The sequence below is a fragment of the Homo sapiens genome, chromosome 3, assembly GCF_000001405.40.
Source record: "Homo sapiens chromosome 3, GRCh38.p14 Primary Assembly".
In the NCBI taxonomy this organism is placed as follows: domain Eukaryota; kingdom Metazoa; phylum Chordata; class Mammalia; order Primates; family Hominidae; genus Homo; species Homo sapiens.
Window position 1 is genome coordinate 46,535,592 of NC_000003.12, and position 20,203 is coordinate 46,555,794.

Below are 20,203 nucleotides of genomic sequence, written 5' to 3' on the forward strand. Positions count from 1 at the left end.
AAAAAATTAAAGTATGTGCTCAAGTTACTCAAAGTTAGATAACATCTTTGTCTTCAGAATCTTAGGTCAGTCTTCAGTTCACTAAGTTTAATTTTAAAATATTTTGGGAACAAGTTAAATAAATCATGCCATAATCATCACTCAGCTACTAGGGAGAATGGGGAAGGTTTAGATGTTCTGATACTGAAAAATAACATTAACATAAAGATGATGCTAATAATAGCAATAATAATAATAATGGCTAGTGAATGCCAGGGATTCACCTACTCTAAATGCTTTCTATGTATTATCTATTTAATCCTCACAACAACGCGGTGAACTAGGTACTATTGTTATCCCCATTTTACAGATGAGGAAACTGAAAACGAGTAAATGACTTGCTCAAGGTTACCTTCCAGTAAGTCAAAGACCCAGGCAGCCTGATCCTAGAGTCCACCTCCGCCTTCATGGTGTGATCGGGGGAAACATGTGAGGCACAGACTGAAGAACACAGTGTAAGCCCATGTGTGTAAGTATATTTAACATGCATGGTTACATGTCTGTTTATAAATAGACAGCTACAACGTAGGTCTATAGAAGAGCATGAGTGTATGTACAGTGTGAATACCCAGGAAACTTAGCGCTTACTGAGAGGCTTGATTTTACATTTTACACCTTTCTAGAATGTTTGAATAGTTTTCGTGCACATGAATGAGGTCTGTGGGGATGACATCATGTCTCCAACAGGATTCGAGTGCCTTGGAATAATCACTTGAATAATCGCTTGGAATAACAACTATGTACCCAATATGTTGGTGTTTATTGCCTTATCTAATCCTCACAACCACTAAATGACAGCAACAACTATTATCCCCACTTTACGGATGAAGAAACTGAAGAGCAGAGAGATTAAGTATAGTGTCCCAATCCCACATTGGTCCCCCACGGATACCCCTCACCCACCAATCTCTTCTCCTCCTCCGAGTGTGCAAGGATAACATCCTCACTCCCCCACCAGTGGTCTCAACCATGGCTGCACATGGGAATCATGTAGGGAGTTTGTTAAATGCTGATTCCTGGCCCTGTACCCAGAGATTCCTATGGAATTGGTCTGCAGTGGATCTTGGGCGTTTAGATTTTTAAGGCTTTTTGGGGGATTCTAAGGTGTAGCCAGGGTGAAAACCACTGCTCAAATCAAACTGGCTCACAAGGAAAGAATGAATAGTACATTGGTGTAGTGTGGGAAGTTAAAAAAGAACAGGTGTTAATCTGGCTGGCAATAATTTCAAGGAAGACATTTCAAGAGATGAACAAAGATACATATTAAATGGAGCACCTCTGATGACATTTCAGACAACTGTGAGCATGACTCATCCCATGGTGATGCTCTGATGCCCTGCCTTTTGACAGCTCCATGCTTAATACCCCATCTATCTTGCTGCCAACCACTGGATTCCCAAGCCAAGGTGGCAGGATGGCAAGGATCCCTGAGTCTAGGTCAACCACTGTGGCTTCTCAAATGTATAAGGACAGAACCTTTCTACTTGAAAAGGGTTGTTTGTTTGTTTGTTTTGAGACAGGGTCTCACCCTGTCACCCAGGCTGGAGTGATGGCTGGTGCCATCACCGCTCACTGCAGCCTCAACCTCCTGGGCTCAAGCGATCCTCCCACAGGCACACGCCATCATGCCTGGCTAATGTTTTACTTTTTGTAGAGATGGGGTTTTGCCATGTTGCCCGGGCTGGTCTCAAACTCCTAGGCTCAAGTGATCTGCCTGCCTCAGCCTCCCAAAGTGCTGGGATTCCAGGCATGAGCCACCGCCTCCAGCCTAAAAAGGGTTTTTAAAAGTAACTCAGTCCTCAGAAACTCTATCCAGTTATTTAAATATACCATGAGCTTGCCCAAAAATGACCTGCAAATAGTGAAATCTGGCTTCTAGCCCAGGCTCTGAAGAAGTTCCTTAGTGTAATATGTAAATGATAATGATTCAGTCAGTTAATGATTCAGTCAGTGGGTCTCTCCAATTTGCAAAATAAAGGGGCAGGAGGTAAATGACCCCTTACATGTCAAAAATGGTACTTTTCAGTCATAGAAATTCTAAGGTCCTTTCTACCTTTCCAGAAACTAGGCAAGGAAACAGAAGTACTTATCCTTGTTGGGTCTAAAATTTGATTTTACCCTGCTTAGAAGCTAATAAATTTTGCCTATTCCTGTTTCATGGATACCGACAGAAGACACGAGGCTCCTGGTCCAACACAGCATACTGATGTGAGTTGCACTTACAGCTAAGTTTACCAAGCGTGATGCAGATGGCCTGGATAGATGCTATGCACATATACATCACAGCTGAGAACCCTGAGCTTGGGGAACCCACCACTTTTACAGCAAGTGGTTAGCAAGGCTGCTCTTTGCCTGGGAGCAGGTGTCTCCTCATCCCTCAAGGTTAGTACATGCATATGCATCCCCAAGATCGGCCTGGGTAAGAGGGTGGTCAGAGCCTTGTAGTCTTGACACAGCCAGCAAGACATGTATGAACACCAGAGGCTCCACAAGCCACCTGTCCCACAGGGTCTTGGCTTCTGGTAAATTTTCACATAACTATGCGAAACCACTGGTCCCAGGGCACATGTGTAAGAATGGAGCTCCATGCAGCTCCAGACCTTCACTCCTTGCACCCCAGGAAAAAGAGAAGCAATAATGATCACTGTCATTTTCATTTTAAGATAACACAACTGAATAATGACTGAGAATTATAAAATTTTGATCCATCAAAAAGACATCAGGCTGGTTACTGTGGCTCATGCCTGTAATCCCAGCACTTTGGGAAGCCGAGGCAGGCAGAGCACCTGAGGTCAGGAGTTTGAGACCAGCCTGGTCAACATGGTGAAACCCCTTCTCTACTAAAAAAAAAAATACAAAATCAGCTGGTGGCACGTGACTGTAACCCTAGCTACTTGGGAGGCTGAGGCAGGAGAATCACTTGAACCAGGGAGGCAGAGGTTGCAGTGAGCCGAGATTGTGCCATTGCACTCCAGCTGGGGCAACAAGAGCGAAACTCCGTCTCAAGGAAAAGAAAAAAAAAGACAACATAAGCTAAACTAGATTTATCAATGGACTAATGTATAAGAGCAATACATTACATTTCTAATAAGCATACTGCACGTTTATAGGTTTAAAACAAAAAGAAAATAAACACAGAGTTCCTAAATAAAATATTGCTCACTCATGAAACTTCTGGTTTCTGAGCAATTGGCAAGTGTCCTGTGTGCTGAGTTATACAGGCGAGACGCCGACCTCACCACCCAAAGGGATGCTGCAAACAAGCAGCTCTGGGGAGCCTCCAAACGGCCCTGCCCAACCACTTCCTGGGGAAGCTGGAGAGGAAACACGGTGTCTGCACAGTGTCTGTCACCTGCCTGACAGCTGCCTGCTTAACACACCAGAGGCCCGAAGACCCCTGCTAAGTTGACATACCGATTTCTGCTGGAAGATGTGAGATTTGGTTTTTTGGCAGATCCAGAATTCTCATCGCTTGAAATAACTGAATATATGTAGGAATGATTTGAATCAAGGTATTGCTTATGTACCATTCTCTCAGGTGTGTCTGCTCCTTCAATGAATCTGGGAGCTCCTAAAATAGAAAGAATGACATCAATCAGAACTAGCTCCTCCGTGTGCACAAAGCCGTGTAAAACCAAGCATTTATTTTAAAACAGGAAGTGAGAAAGCAGACACGAGAGCATAAAACTTAACCACCAGCACTCCAGCCATTTCAAAAAGAAACCAAAGACACCGCAGTTGTCGTCAACTTCACAACAGTATATTAGCCCTATTTCAAAACTGCCGTGAATTCATGATGTTATTAAAATTAAATCCTAGTGAACACAAAAAACCAGACTCACACTTAGAGCCACAATGTGTATTATTTATTTGCAACATACCAACTTAACATCCCCTAAGGTCTGTCTATACATTCGATTTCAAAATTTGTGCTTCGTTTCCCTTTGTCTGTAGTTGCTTTTAGAAATACTTGATAAACCTCTAATATTTGCTGTACCACATTTCCAAATATTCTTAAGAGTCTATGAAAGGGAAAAAGCATGAGAAAGACAGTCAGCTGGGACACCTGAGTTCCGGCCCAGGCCCTGCCATTTTCCAGTCACGCCACCTCCCTGGGTCTCCACTGCTGAAATGACATTGATGAACTCAGTGTCCAAGGCCTCCCCTAGCTCAAGTGTTCTGGGATAAAACTGTAAAGGTGTCAAGCAAGAAGCGTTTAAAGACTTTAAGGAGGCTATTTGTCCAGCTGAAGAAATCTAATTCACCGAGAGTTACCGAGCCCCCATTGCAGGTGAGGGGTGCTCAGCACTGAGGGGTGGGGCAAAGACGAGACACACAGGTCCCCTGACCTCAGAAGCTGACCACAACGCACCATCAGCAAAGTGGCTGGAGCACAGGGTGGAGGTGGGATGAGGTGTGGAAAACTCCATGGCAGTTGAAGGGGAGGTGGAGGGAGCAATGGAGTCCATAGTGATCCTTCTTTTTTGTACTTGGTACTTGTAATGTGCTTTACAACCATTGCCCTCCTGTGTGTGGGTTAAGCTGTTAACTTGCAAAAGTGCTTTCACTCTAGTATTATCTCATGCAACAGTACCATAAGATAGGCAAAGTGGGCCGGGCACAGTGGCTCACGCCTGTAATCCCAGCAATTTGGGAGGCCAAGGCGGGTGAATCACCTGAGGTCAGGAGTTCGAGACCAGCCTGGCCAACATGGTGAAACCCCATCTCTACTAAAAATACAAAAATTAGCTAGGTGTGGTGGCGTGCACTTGTAATCCCAGCTACTTGGGAGGCTGAGGAAGGAGAATCGCTTGAACCCAGGAGGCGAAGGTTGTAGTGAGCCAAAATAGCACCACTGCACTCCAGCCTGGGTGACAGAGTGAGACTCCATCTCAAAAAAAAAAAAAAAAATTGATAGGCAAAGTGAGCCCCTTTGGAAGAGGAAAGCTGAAACCCCAAAGACATTTAAGTGAATCACTTACAGTAAGGATCCACTACTGAGTTTGCAGAGCCTAGTGCAAAATGAAAATGCAGGCACCTTGTTAAAAATTAAGAAGTTCAAGATGGTGAGCACAGAGCATTAAACCAAGCATAGGGCCCTGTGCCGCTGCTTCTGAAGCCAACTACCTAGTTACCACCTGCCCCCTTCTCGTGGCCCTGGCAAACTGTCCCGACACCTCTTGATCTGAATGGAACCCACACCACACCAGAGGGTTGCCTCCTGGAACTGAGACAAAATGAGTTGGGTCATCAGGGAGCTGACCACAGGCTCATAATCACAATCTCTTCATTGACACTTCAACGTACTGACTGTCTCATAAATAACCTCATTCCACTCTTTCAATAATGGCACACATGAAAGATTATTAAATTTCTAAAATTATGTTCATGACTATTTTCAACAAGAAAAATATTAGGATAGGCCGGGCATGGTGGCTCACGCCTGTAATCCCAGCACTTTGGGAGGCCGAGGCGGGCAGATCACGAGGTCAGGAGATCGAGACCATCCTGGCTAACACAGTGAAACTCCGTCTCTACTAAAAATACAAAACATTAGCCGGGCGTGGTGGCGGGCGCCTGCAGTCCCAGCTGCTCGGGAGGCTGAGGCAGGAGAATGGTGTGAACCCGGGAAGCGGACCTTGAAGTGAGCCGAGAATATGCCACTGCACTCCAGCCTGGGCGACAGAGCGAGACTCCGTCTCAAAAAAAAAAAAAAAAGAAAAGAAAAGAAAAATATTAGGATATCAAATGAAATAGAAATGAAAAGAATCGAGTAAAAATGACAGATTGAATGTATGCATGTACTTTTGCTCTTCTCCAAAATTCCATTAAAGACAACAGTACAGGAACTTTTTAGGTGCCATAAACCTTGCAGAAGGGCAAAGAGAAAGGGAAAGGAGACATCAGCTGCAAAATGTGGATAACCAGACAGCCGGAAGATGGTAACCTGGCTTCCCAGAGCTGCTCAATCTTAGACTAGCAGCAGAAACAACTGAGATACAACCTGGGCTTCTCACCAGAAGCCACCAGAGACTCGGCAGTAGAAGAGCCTGGTACCCCTGGAAGTGAGAGCTGAAGTCACGGCCCAAAGAAAGAGATCGGGTTCAAAGTCTGAGGACCAGAACCTTGACCCCCATCCATGCCACACAGCAATTACCTCTGCTCCCCACCAGTAGGAAGCTGAGGCTTATTCACTGGAGGAGGTTCAACAAAGTCCCTGAACTGGGGTACCTCAAGCACAGCTGAGGCAGGGGAGGTGGCAATCAGATGATGAGTGATGAATGCTGAGATTCTCTCTGCCCCAGGAACTGAGAAGATCCTTCTCTGTATGCTCCCATAGCTCCAGACAAATCATGAATGTGCATTCATGAACATTCATGAATAATCATGAATAGGAGAGGGGAGGCACCAGTGAGATGGGGACTTTACAGCAACTTCCTCAAAAGCTAAGTGTGCCCGACACACACTCAGAGCTTCTGGTCAGCTTGTTAGTGCTCTGGACAACCCAGTGTCTCCAGACCTCCAAGAAATGTCCCAACATGCAAGATAAAGACACATACCCTAAAAGAAAAAGGAAACTCTGAAACAAGAAAGCATCCCCCCCAAAAAAACTATCCAGCACTTTGGGAGGCTAAGGCAAGACAATCACTTGAGCCTAGGAGTTCAAGACCAGCCCAGACCACAAAGTGAGACTCCATCTTTAAAAAAAAATTAAATTAGCCGAGTGTGGTGGCATGCACCTGTTGGTTCCAGCTACAGAGAAGGCTAAGGTGGAAGGATCACTTGAGTCCAGGAGATAGAGGCTACAGTGAGCCATGTTCATGCCACTGCACTCCAGACAGAGTGACTAAGCAGGGCTCTGTCTCAAAAAACAAACAAAAGAAAAAAAAAGAAGAAAAGAAAAAAAAAAAAGATTGATCCCAAGATAGCTAAGAAAAGCCATTACCCTGCAAAATAAAAACAGAACAAAATTTTAAAAGCTAAGATTAAGAGATATCTGTAAAAGTGGAAAAATAAAGCCACTTCACAGAATTCATCCATTTGAAAAAACAAACAGCAAACAGCTCGGGGAAATTAAACATGTGGTAGTAAAAATGAAAAATTCTATTGCAGGGTTGGAAAATAAAATTGAGGATCTCCCCTATACGAGCAGGGTCCGGGGTCTGAGAGCTTCTGACTCAAAACAGGAGCCCCAGCCCTCAGCCCAAGCTGGCCACACAGCCTCAGCCAGCCCTAAGGGCCGCAGCAGATCTCTCTCTACCTAGTCCCTAAGGCCCCAGAAGCTCCACAGCCCATTCCTTCCCTCCTGACCTCTTGCAGGGGCCAGGCAGGCTGCCAGGTGTGACTTTGGAGGCCACAAATCCCTCACTGCCACAGAGCACTCTAAGAGGCTGAAAAATCCCTTAACACACACAGCCTTTCACTCCTTAGTCAGAGGTGAGGCCGAAGCACAAGCTCTCTGGGGGAGGAAAACGGTAACTGAAATTCACTCTAAAGAATATGTGGGGCCCAGAGTCTTCCTGGACTCTCCTGTACTCAATCACAACAGAGTACGGCTTAGGGGATGGCGTATGGGGACAAAGAGATTGCAAGTTTTGAGGACGCCATCCACCTGGTTCACAATGGAGGTCTCTCCCAGCCTGCTGAATTCTAACCATCTTCCCATTCCCTTTACCATACCGGGCACATTAAACACGCTTTACAGGCCAGGTGCAGTGACTCACGCCTGTAATCCCAGCACTTTGGGAGGCCGAGGCGGGCGGATCACGAGGTCAGGAGATCGAGACCATCCTGGTTAACACGGTGAAAACCCGTCTCTACTAAAAATACAAAAATTTAGCCGGGTATGGTGGCGGGTGCCTGTGGTCCCAGCTACTCGGGAGGCTGAGGCAGGAGAATGGCGTGAACCCGGGAGGCGGAGCTTGCAGCGAGCTGAGATCGCACCACTGTGCTCCAGCCTGGGTGACAGAGCGAGACTCCATCTCAATTAATAATAATAATAATAATAATAATAATAATAAATAATAAATACCCTTTACAATGATTTTCAAAAGGTAGATTGTGAAACATGAGGGCTCGTGACAGGTTCTCCAGGTGAACTGGACACCCTTACAGGGTAAGTGCCACACCCAGGATCGTGTTTACTGGCCAATGGTATTTAATTAACAATCCAGACATGCCTCCCTTCGTGCCCTAGAATAGGCAGCCCGTTACCTACTGATCTCAATGATGGGGATGCAAGGGAAAGAACAGTAAAGAGGTTTACAGTAATAACCTCTTGCATTTTTGGAGAACTGTATACTTTACAGAATATTCATGCACTTCATCCTCTCAATAGCACTCAGATAGGGTCAGGGCAAGCATTAGCAGCATTTTACTGATAAGAATGATAAAAACCCATAAAAGTGATATGCATTTTTATCAAATGATAAAAACCACCTCGGATCACATGGCTAATAAAAGACAGCCCCAGGTCACGCAAAATATTTAGTCTCTCCACCGAGTCCTTTTAGTCACAAAATGGCAGGGTAATAGGCTCAAGCTCAGGAATTCGAGACCAGCCTGGGCAACCTGGCAAAACCCCGCCTCTAGGAAAAAAATACAAAGCCCGGGCGTGGTGGCTCTTGCCTGTAATCCCAGCACTTTGGGAGGCAAAGGCGGGCAGATCACCTGAGGTCAGGAGTTCGAGACCAACCTGGCCAACATGGTGAAACCCCGTCTCTACTAAAAATACAAAAATTAGCCAGGCATGGTGGCACACACCTGTAGTCCCAGCTCCTCGGGAAACTGAGATCTCGCCACTGCACTCCAGCCTGGGTGACAGAGCAAGACTCTTGAACAAAACAAAACAAAACAAAAAAGACACAAAATGGCAAGATACAAAGAGATGGACGGAGGGTCCCAGGGAACCCTGTCCCGATGAAATGGGCAATAGCCCAAGTTATTATGGGACCTGAGGAAAGAAAGATGGAATTGTCTTTGCCCTGGCCTCAGAATCTCAGGACAGGAAAACCAGATAAAGGATCTGCAGAAATTCCTTTGCTGCCCTTCGGCACTTCGGCAAGTAAGTAATTGCCCACTGCCAGGGCGTTAGTTGAATGAAAGGCGCCGTCACTTAAATTGATGTTTTTTAAAGACAAAGAATTATGTTAAGGGTCTAGGGCGGGGAACAGGAGAGGAACGCATCCTGAAAGACTGTGCTGCCCAGGAGAGGGCACGTGCATCCCAGCTGCTCAGCCACAGAGGTATCCAAGTGGGTCCCATCACTGCTTCCAGGACTGCGCTGCGTTTCACTGAGGAAGGGACAGAAGAACCTCCTCTAAAGGCAAAAGCATTCATTCATTCATCCTTGGGCTCAGGCGAGCAGCAGTCATCGACCACAGCACTGCATTGGGCGAGAACTGCCTCGACTCACCGTCCAGTGCTCCCCAGAAAGTTCAAACACAAACGCACTGCTCCGTTTGCCTCTGTCCTTGGGAAGTGAACTCTGCCTTGTGAGAGTGTTCCTTTCAATCTTGTCCAGAAGCCGCACGCTGGTGTCTATGAAGCCATTCTTGCAGTATACAGCCTGGGGGATGCCCTTCCTCCTGCATTCGGCCACAAAGTTCCACTCCTCCTTTATCCTAAAACAGGCAGCAGGGGTCACAGTTACTCTCCTGGGGACTGGCCATCACCTGCCTAGAGAAGTGAGTCAGCCACCTGGGCATAGGTGCTCTCCTTGTCATTCCCAGGCCTACGTAAGCACTCCCTTCCTCTTTCCTCCCTGCTGTGGGGGTGCAGGGGAAACCCTAAACCCTTTTGTGAATTATTAGTAACTTCAACTTTAAAAGTAGAGAAGATGGGTTAGATGGAATTTCTGGCTATGCGTTTAATTATAATTTCCTTTGAAATTATATCATGCCAACCTAAGTTTTAAAAAAGTGCAGGGCCACAGGGATTCACTGATCTTTCAAGGGTATTTGAATAGAAATACAGAGGAGCTTCAGTGTATAAAACACCTGACTTTGGAATGTCACCATCAGCCACCTTGGGGAATTTTATTCCTGTAGATGGACCTGAGGTCCACTCAGACACTGGAGCTGGCTGAGGACTCAGCATCCCCACCAAACCTCACCACCCCACGTGTCGCTAATTTTCTGACCTATCTTTTAGAGCTTTCCACATCCATAGCTTATCCCCCAGCTTGATGCTAAGCTCCATGATGACAGCTAGTGTGTCTCACAGCCCTTCAGATGCCCACACAGCTGTCAGAACAGGGCTCTGCACCTGGTGGGCCTTTCTTCATTTAGGAATTTGTTTTCTGTTTGAGGCCTTTAACATATTCTATGTGATGCAAAACAAGATGTTTTGTGGTTTTCCTTCAAAACCATCAAACACAGATGTTGTCTGACTCAAAATAAGGTAGCCCACCTTTGATAGGGGCTTAGATGCATTCCACACTCAGAAAAGCATTCCACACCCTACTCAGCCCAACTGGGAACCTGGCGGCAGTCAGGATTCAGGTCTTCTGGGGGCTACTTTAGAAACCAGCTGCAGGTGCAGACTTGGTCTTCACGTGGCCCAAGGCAGTATATACACTAAATAAGTGTGAGATAAGCCCCATGGTCAAGGAACAATCCTAGTATGGAAACTCTCTGCTGTTATCTGAAGGAAGGGTGGTTCAGAGTCTCAGTTAGGCTGTAGGGTGGCACTGTGGGGCACAGGCAAGCCTGCCATTGGAGTGGTTAGGAGGGGTCTGAAGGTTTACTGCACCTGGGACAAGACCAGCTTCTAGGACTGGGCATGCGGGAAGTCCCAGTCTGGACCACCAGGCACTGTCAAGTGTAAGGAGAAATTTCAGATTTTGAAAGAAGCAAAACACAGATGGATAGCCTTTTCCCGGAATGCCGGAGCCTCCAGGGGATTCTCTGATTCTATAGGTATGTACCTTTGACTTTGACTAAGCTATTTTATAACTCTGTAGAGAGTAAAGTTAACTTGTAGAAAACGGAAAGCCATACAAATAATTCTTATCCATAAACACACAGAAATTCTATCCAGTGGAGGGACAACCCTCTCCCACCCCCAGAAACACCAATTTGCTCCTTTTTTTTTTTTTTTTTTTTTGAGACAGAGTTTTGCTCTGTCACCCAGGCTGGAGTGCAATGGCACAGTCTCAGCTCACTGCAACCTCCACCTCCCACGTTCAAGCGATTCTCCTGCCTCAGCCTCCCCAGTAGCTGGGATTACAGATGCCTGCCACAGTTTATATCCCATTATCTCCCTGCTCTACACCTGCCCCCACACAGTAAATGAGATGAAGGAAAACTCATAACCTTGCACACTGGTCTGGCTTTGAAAGGAAAACATATTCATGGATCCCATTGTAATCACCTCCTGGCATCCATCCTTAACTCCCTTGCCCCTCTCTTGGTGTCAGTGGCATTTGCATTTGCTGTTATGCCTGCCTGCAACCCTTGTTCTTAGATTTCTGCAGGGCTGGCTCCCCAGGTCTACATGCAAATGTCACCTTCTTAATCAGATGTTTTGCTTTTAAGAAACCATTTCAGATATTGCTGGAGTTTCATGCTTGCCATTCAACTGAGGGAAGCTGGAACATTTGAAGAAAAACATTTTGCTGACAGCACTGGCTGGCACAGCTCTATAGGTCTCAGTCCCAGTGAGCTGCGCTGGGGAAAACCACCCAGCAATCCATGAGTCAGGGCTTCAGGATCTACATATGAAGTCTATAAGTAATATAACAAAAGTGATAAATTTAAAAATATTGCCAGGTGCAGTGGTTCAGGCAGGAGGAACACTTGAGGCCAAGAGTTTGAGACCAGCCTGGGAAACAAAGTGAGACCCCTGTCTCTACAAAAAATACAAGAAAAAAAAAAGAAAGCGGGGCTGGTGGCACATGCTTGTAGTCCCAGCTACTCAGGAGGCTGAGCTAGGAAAACTGTTTAAGCCCTGGAAGTCGAGGCTGCAGTGAGCTATGATCACACCACTGCACTCCAGCCTGGGCAACAGAAAGAGACTTGTCCCAAAAAAATTACAAGAAAAAAAAAAATATATATATAACATATGTGTGTGTGTATGTGTGTGTGTGTGTGTGTGTGTGTGTCAGCACATGAAGGGATATGAATTTAAAAGCAGAAGAAAGTGCTGAAAGAGAAGTGGGCTCCTCTGGGAGAAGTTGTAGTGGCTTGGAATTGTTGCTTTTCCTTATTAGCTTTTCTGTGTGATTTAGTTTTATAACCATATGATAAAAATGAATTTTAAATATCTACCTGTAGATTTAGATCTTACTGTAGCAGTCAGGACAAGGGGCAGACTCTAGGTCAAAGACATGCTGCTAGAACTTCTGTTAGAAGCAATACCTCCAAAATTTTTAAAACCAACAGCACAGCCACTGCAAGTTCTTGTATTCACTGGGCACTTTTCAGATTAATGTCTCTAACTTTTCTTTCCTCATTTCTTAGACTGAACCTGAAGGCAGATCCTAGCAATATAATGAGATGATACCGGCTCATCCCTATGTAATATATCATTCCTATAGCACATATTACAAATTGTTATAAATATTTCACATATTTTGGTACAGCCAATATAAAATGGAGAAAAAAGAAAATTAGATGTACCCCATTAAAAATAATTATATACCAAATCTATTTTGTATTATTTCTTAAATATTTGTTGTCTTATTTTCTTTATGTCTTATTTTCCTTCTTAAATATTTTATGTCTGATTCCCTCTGAAACCTGATGAAAGGAAAGTGAAGAAGGAAATATAAACTATTTTTTTAATTCCATTCTCTTCCTTGAAAGTAATTAAAATAAATAAAATTCGTTGTCTTTTCACTCTATCACCCATATAATTCAATGTGAAATCTTCCTCTCAACTCAGTTTTAGCTGAATGCCAAATATGCAATAAACATACAAAAAAAATGCCATTAGAGTTCTTCTAATTAAATCAATAAATGTGTAAATAAAATACCTTTTCCTTAGGAAAGGAAACCACAATCCCAGCCCAGATGGCAAACAGCCTCAATGGAGAAGAAATTCTTCACTTACAGCCTAACAATAGCTCTTTTATTTCTCCCTCTAAATCAGCAGTCCTCAACCTTTTTGGCACCAGGGACCAGTTTCATGGAAGACAATTTTTCCATGGATGAGGGGTTGGGGGGATGGTTTCGGGATAAAACTGTTCCACCTCAGATCATCAGGCATTAGATTCTCATAAGCAGTGGGCAACCTAGATCCCTTGTATGCACAATTCACAAAAGGGTTTGTGCTCCTATGAGAATCTAATGCTGCCGCTGATCTGACAGGAGGTGGAGCTCAGGTGGTAATGCCCGCTTGCCCCCTGCACACCTCCTGCTGTGTGGCCCAGTTCCTAAAAGGCCAGCCCAGGGCTTGGGAACCTCCGCTCCAAATGATCAAGTTTCATTCGGAGAGAGTGATATTTCATATTTTATCTCTACTTATAATGTTTAAGTATCGGTATATACTTCATAACAACTACAGCATTACAGGATGAGATACCCTAAAGTGAGGTAACAGAACAAGCTAGGAGGTTTTATTTGTTTCAGTAAATTTAAATTAACCAAATAGTTGCCTTTTATAATCAGGCAGGCATTAATTTTTCAACATATTAATTACTCCTTTGAACAGTAAACAGATCCTGAGAAACTAAAAGTTAACCCTCAAATAGTACTAATGATCACAGTATGAATTATATTATGGAAGCTCAAAAACACCTGTAAAGAAGGCAAATTTACTACCCCCATTTCTGAAGAGGCTGAGAAACTAAGTTCCTTTCTTAAACATGCACATTCTTCCCCAGCCCTACCTCACATTCCTCCTTATCTGCCCAGCCAACTTGGTGGCTGTTTTCCTTATCTTGGGCTAGAAAAGCCAAACAAATATCCAAGAAGTTTTCTGTCTTAGGTTAAGATGAGACAGTGCACAAGCTCAATGACACTGAGCCCAAGTCAAGCTCAATCCTATGTACATGAGATGCGTGAAGCTGTTTAACACCTCAAAGAAAGACAGCGTTGAAGGGGCAGATCCCACTCCAAAGCAGATGAGAGAGCACAGTCTGCAGACCCCAGGTGTCTGCAAATGGCTCCTCTTCCAAGAACCTCAGGAAGTTGCATCAGCTACAGGTGCTTCCCTAACTCCCCTCCCCACTGCCAAGGGCGTGGGCCTCCATGCAGCAAGCTTGTTCTGCTGTAGAGTAACCCCAGATGCTAGGTGTGCGGAGGAAATCAAAGCAGGGCTGAGAGCTACTTTGGGCTCTGGGACCTTGTATGATTTATGTGAGTGTAGGTCTCTTGGATGCGTTGCCATGTGGGCTTTCTGGTTTAAGGGTTGTAATTCTTTTTTGTTGTTTTTTTGTAAAGACAGAGTCTCACTATGTTGCCCAGGCTAGTCTCAAACTCCTCAAGCAATCCTTTATGTCATATTGGACAATCTCAGATTAGTGGCAAGAGAAAAGACGTTCTAACTACCTGTGATTACAGCATTATACAGAGGCAAGGGCTTGGCCACATCTTCCACTTACCATCTGTGTGAACTTGAGCAACTTACCTAAGTCCCAACTTCCTCATCTGCAAATTAGGGATGGTGGTAACCACCTGAAACCACTGTGATGAATACAGTAGCAGCTTAATTATCAAGCATGATCAGAATAGGTATTTGTTTAATCCAAAAAGCTAATGAAGGTGGAGAACCAAGAATGTAGACACATTCACACCTTACACATCTTTTTTTTTTTTTTTTTTTTTTTTGAGACAGAGTCTCGCTCTGTCGCCCAGGCTGGAATGCAGTGGCTTGATCTCAGCTCACTGCAAGCTCTGCCTCCCGGGTTCACGCCATTCTCCTGCCTTCCTGCCTCAGCCTCCCAAGTAGCTGGGACTACAGGCGCCCGCCACCACGCCCGGCTAATTTTTTGTATTTTTAGCAGAGACGGGGTTTCACCGTGTTAGCCAGGATGGTCTCGATCTCCTGACCTTGTGATCCGCCTGCCTCGGTCTCCTAGAGTGCTGGGATTACAGGCGTGAGCCACTGCGCCCAGCCCCTACACATCTTGCTTTTAATTTAAAGTGTGCAAATATACCATCATTGGCCAACTTGATGTAGGGTTGGGACTTTCTTTGAGAATGGGTCTGCCAATGAGAATCCCATTGTGTCAATCTTATATAAACAGCACCCCTAATGCATCATCCATGAGTTCCAGTTCTGGTTTCTCCACAGGGAATAAAAATTGCAGACATATGCAAAGCCATCTTCAACCTTTCTACCTTGTAGATTTTCCAAAGCACTCAACTTGGTGTTCATATACATAACTTTCTTTTACTCATATTTCACGGCCGTATATGATAGGCAAATGACACCATTTCATCCAAGTAAAAACGACACCAACACAATGAATCTTACCTAGAATTCAGCTCAATGGGGGAGGGCTGAAGTGCACAACAGAGTAGCCCCAAGCTGCCCCAGATGGCAGTCAGATGGTGTCCAGAGCGCCAGACAGCCTAGTGAGTTAGCTCAGTGAACTCTAGCTAGGCAGCCTGCTACAGCATTTACTGTGGGGGGATTTATCGTGTCATCTCGGTCTTCCTCGTGCCTACCACAAGGGTGGTGGGTAGGTCCTTATAACCATGGGTGTTGCTATCATAGGAACTGCGTATTTGTACTGAGCAACAGTGTAAGGCTCTGAAGTTTAATGAGGAAAATTTTACCAACAGTGAGAAATCCCAGAAGAAAAGCATCCTCCTCCACAACGCAACTGTTGCCTGTCCAAATCCTTATTCACCAAACAAGCTACAAGACTAGGTTGAGAAAACACGTACTTCTCCAAGGCGCTCTTCTCAAGCCTTTCCACCTCCTTCTTCTGCCAAGCTTTGTGCTTCTTGACACGAGTTTCCCACAAGGCTCTGATGACAGAAATGTCGAAGACAACCACTTTATGTCCCATTTTGGGAGCATGAAATTACCTATTTAAAAAATATATAGATATGTCAGCTTGATACACAAACAGAAAACAGTTTTAACATAAACTTTAAAATGAAATATGAATGAATCACTTGGCTTAAGGAATGATGATATGCCTTACTACTTCAAGGATGACAGTTTGCTTTTTTTTTTTTTTTTTTTTTTTAGCTTGTTTGGCTGGTTGGGTTTTGTTTGTCTTGTTTTTATTGAGACAGAGTCTCACTCTGTTGCCCAGGCTGGAATGCAGTGGCACGATCATAGCTCCAACTGCAGCCTCAACCTCCTGGGCTCAGGCAATCTTCCTGCTTCAGCCTCCCAAGCAGCTGGGACTACAGGATCACACCATCACACCCAACTAATTTTTTAATTTTTTGTGGAGACAGGGTCTCACTCTATTGCCGAGGCTGGGAGGATGACAGTTTCCTAATGTTCTTAAGGTTTGGTAGTACTTTGTGTAAGTAAGTCATAGTTCAACACTCACCCTAGGGTCACCTTCTCTAGATGGTCACACTTGTCTCCTTAACCCTCAGATAGACTCTGGGCTCCCAAAGCCCCCTGGGGATTCCTCAAACTTCACGGTTCCACATTGTATTAAATTCACTAGTATATGTACCTAATATTCCCAGTAGGTTGTTACATAATCAAGGATAAGTTAGATGAATTAATCACAGGGCACGGGCATGCACACACACACACGCAGGCAGGCACGCACACACATCCTCTCTCCTCTCTCAAGTAGAACGGAATATAACTTCTTAGTTGTATTTAAATCTAAAAAAAAAAAAAAGCTCACATAGGCGGTGTTATAATTGCTTTTCTAAAAGTCCCCTTTTGTTGGTAGAAATTTATTCTAAAGATATTTGAGTGTTCTTTCCTTCCTTTAAGTATAGGACATGAGGCACGTAACAGCGACTTTCTTCCGTAACCCATCACCTCAATTCTTCCCCTCTGGGATTGCCTTTTCCATCCTCCTCCTGCCTTCTTTCCTCAGTCCGGCTGACCTAACTCATTTCTGTTCTCCAGGGTAGTCTCTGCCACCACCAGTCTCTGCCTCTCCTCCCCAATATCCCCAGCCCTCATCATCTGAGGCCACAGGCCAGCCACCATTAAGTTAAAAAAAAAATGGCACTGAGCCCCACTGAGCACTCTGCCACTTAAGACTGACCACACAGCCTGGAGACATGTCCTCTGAGGTTTCCCTGCAGATTGAACCTTCACAAACCATTGATCTCTGTTTACCTGGTTTTCAAAGAGCAAGGAAAGTCAAACTTGGGTACATTTTGGCCATCACATCTCAGTGGGAATTTAGAGATAATTTAGTCTCTATTTTCAGTGTCACCAAATGAAACATGAGAGGCCCACCAAAACTTTATGTCTATATCCCTGGCACCTAGTATAGTGCCTTGCACATGGTAGGCCCTCCATAAATATTTGTGGAATGCATGAGTGAGTGAATGAATGAATGAGTAAATAAAAGATATTGCTTCACTCTCAGGACACTAAATGAGCTCTCTTCTTTTTTATTTTTCTACTTTACATTTACTTTTTGTTTTAAGTAATTATTTGATCATTGCAAAAAAAAAAAATTGTCAGGACAGAAAAGTACCTTTCAGTGTACATTCCACTAAGTTATACTTATGTCCCTTATCTAAGTAAAGTAACTTTCTAGATATTGTTTTGAAATTCCCTAAGTGCAGCAGCAAAGTCTTGCTAAATCCATGCCCTGATTTGCACAAACACAGATTGTCAGTTGCTAAATAGTAGGGCTGGTGAATACTTTCTCCTCCAATTTCAGACACTTCTATATAGCAGTCACGGATATGAAGCCAAATATTTAATCTTCTTTTTCTTTTTCTTTCAGACAGGGTATTACCTGTTCCCTAGGCTGGAGGGCAGTGATCCAGGTGCAATCACTGCTCATTGCACCTGGATCTGGGCATAGTGGCGCATGTCTGTAGTCCCTCAACCTCCTGGGCTCAGGGGATCCTCCCATCTCAGCCTCCCATGTAGCTGGGACCACAGTCGTGCGTCACCACACTTGGTGAATTTTTTAATTTTTTGTGGAAGCGGGGCCTCGCTATGTTACCCAGGCTGGTCTTGAACTCCGGGGCTCAGGTGATCCTCCTGCCTCAGTCTCCCATAGTGCTGGGATCACAGGCACAAGCCATCATGCCTGGCCAAAATATTTAATCTTCTGACTCAAGAATGTGCTCCCTATAAATGGCTTGCCAATAAGAATGGGAGAACTGGCTTATGTTTGTGCAGCTGAAAATATGAACGTATATAATTTTACTCTAAAGAGCTGACAATGCTGACCTAATTTATTCCCTTCTTTCCTTTGATTTCTGATGTCTGAGACTGCCTTTGTTTGTTGTTGTTGTTGTTGTTTCATTGGTTGTTGTTGTTGTTTTTTTGTTGTTTTTTTTCCTGAGACAGGGTCTCACTCTGTTGCCCAGGCTAGAATGCAGTGACACCATCATGGTTCACTGCAGCCTCAACCTCCCAGGCTCAAGCATTCCTCCTACCTCCACCTCCCAAGTAGCTGGGACTACAGACATGCGCCACTATGCCCAGATAATTTTTGTATTTTTTGTAGAGATGGTGGTCCCACTATGTTGCCCAGACTGGTCTCAAACTCCTGGGCTCAAGCAATCCACCCACCTAGGCCTCCCAAAGTGCTGGGATTATCGGCATGAGACAGTCTGCCCAGCCTGAGACTGCCTTTGCCTCCTTTAGAATTGTTTTACCTAAAGGAGGCCAGGTGCAGTGGCTCATGCCTGTAATCCCAGTACTTTGGGAGGCAGAGGTGGGCAGATCATGAGGTCAGGAATTCCAGACCACCCTGGCCAATATGGTGAAACCCCATCTCTACTAAAAATTACAAAAATTAGCCGGGCATGGTGGTGCACACCTGTAGTCCCAGCTACTCGGGAGGCTGAGGCAGAATTGCTTGAACCTGGGAGGCGGAGGTTGCAGTGAGCCGAGATCGTACCAGCGCACTCCAGTCTGGGAGACAGAGCAAGACTCTGTCTTAAAAAAAAAAAAAAAAGAAGAAGAAGAATTGTTTTACCTAAAGGAGATTTTTGACAAAAGTTAAAATGATGCACAAGTTTTTGTGTGTACATTTGTTGTCTTATCCTTGGTAAATATAAAGGAGAATTGTTAGATTATATGATAACTCTATAGTTAACCTTTCTGTGAACTGTCAGACTGTTTTCCAAAGCAGCTACATCATTTTACATTCCCACCAGCAGTGTATGAAGATTCCTGTCTCTCCACATCCTCACCAACACTTGTTATTAACTGTCTTTTTTATTATAGCCATCCTAGTAGGTGTGAAGAGGTATCTTGTTGTTTTGATTTGCATTTTCCTGATGACTAATGATGTTGAGCATATTTTCATATGCTTGTTAGGCATTTATAGATCTTCTTTGGAGAAATGTCTATTCAGATCCTTTCCCCTTTTTTAATTGGGTTAATTGGTCTTTTTATTTATCGTTAAGTTGCAATAGTACTTTATATATTCTAGATACAGGTCCTTTACCAGGTATATAATTTGCAAAAAATTTCTTCCATTTTGTGAGTTGCTTTTCACTTTCTTGATTCCATCATTTTATATTATCCTAACTATATGCTTATAGTTGATGTGAGATTTTGTAGACAGACTATTGCTGGATCATTTATTTAACCAATTCTGACTATCTCTATCTTTTAATTGATGTATGTATGCCATTTATATTTAATACACTTACTTGTATATTTGGATTTAAATCTGTAATTTTATTACTTTTTTTCTATTTGATCCCTCTTTTGTTTTCCTATTTTACACTTTCCTGCCTTCTTTTCTCTGAACATTTTTTAGAATTCCATTTTAGTTTCTCTATTATATATTTTACTATGTCTCTTTGGGTAGTTTTTTTCTCTTGTTTTATGGTTGCCCTAAGAATTATTATACATACTTACTTTTTCATAGTCCACTTAGAAACAGTATGTTACCACTTCAAGTGAGATGTAAAAATCTTACCACCATATAGGTCCTCCTACATTCCCACCTTTATGTTGCAGTTGTCTTATGTATTATGTCAATCAATGTTATATTTTTGGCTTCCAATCATCAAATTTAAAGAACTCCTGAGGAGAAAACTGGTCCATTATATTTATCTTGATATTTATATGTTCCTGTTCC

At 43.9% G+C, this 20,203-nt stretch overlaps 1 protein-coding gene across 1 annotated transcript in view, besides 2 other annotated features; it reads right to left on the minus strand.

The window, feature by feature from the left end:
• LRRC2 (leucine rich repeat containing 2) overlaps window positions 1–20,203 on the minus strand; it is a 50,918-nt gene that overhangs the window by 20,207 nt on the left and 10,508 nt on the right. The window contains exons 2-4 of the mRNA NM_024512.5: window positions 15,876–16,019; window positions 9,455–9,662; window positions 3,454–3,610 (exon numbers count right to left, since the gene is read on the minus strand). Coding sequence (NP_078788.2) covers window positions 3,454–3,610; window positions 9,455–9,662; window positions 15,876–16,000 — 490 coding nt within the window. The 5' untranslated portion in view covers window positions 16,001–16,019. The remainder of the gene's footprint in view (window positions 1–3,453; window positions 3,611–9,454; window positions 9,663–15,875; window positions 16,020–20,203) is intronic.
• Window positions 3,471–3,530: an enhancer, noted in NCBI's record as "active region_19797". NCBI's record gives its function as "activates an Ori minimal core promoter by ATAC-STARR-seq in GM12878 lymphoblastoid cells {active_cell/tissue: GM12878}" and the evidence as "EXISTENCE:reporter gene assay evidence [ECO:0000049][PMID:35858748]".
• Window positions 8,871–9,415: an enhancer, noted in NCBI's record as "H3K27ac-H3K4me1 hESC enhancer chr3:46585952-46586496 (GRCh37/hg19 assembly coordinates)". NCBI's record gives its function as "activates a minimal SCP1, AML or CMV promoter by ChIP-STARR-seq in naive H9 embryonic stem cells {active_cell/tissue: H9 hESC(naive)}" and the evidence as "EXISTENCE:reporter gene assay evidence [ECO:0000049][PMID:30033119]".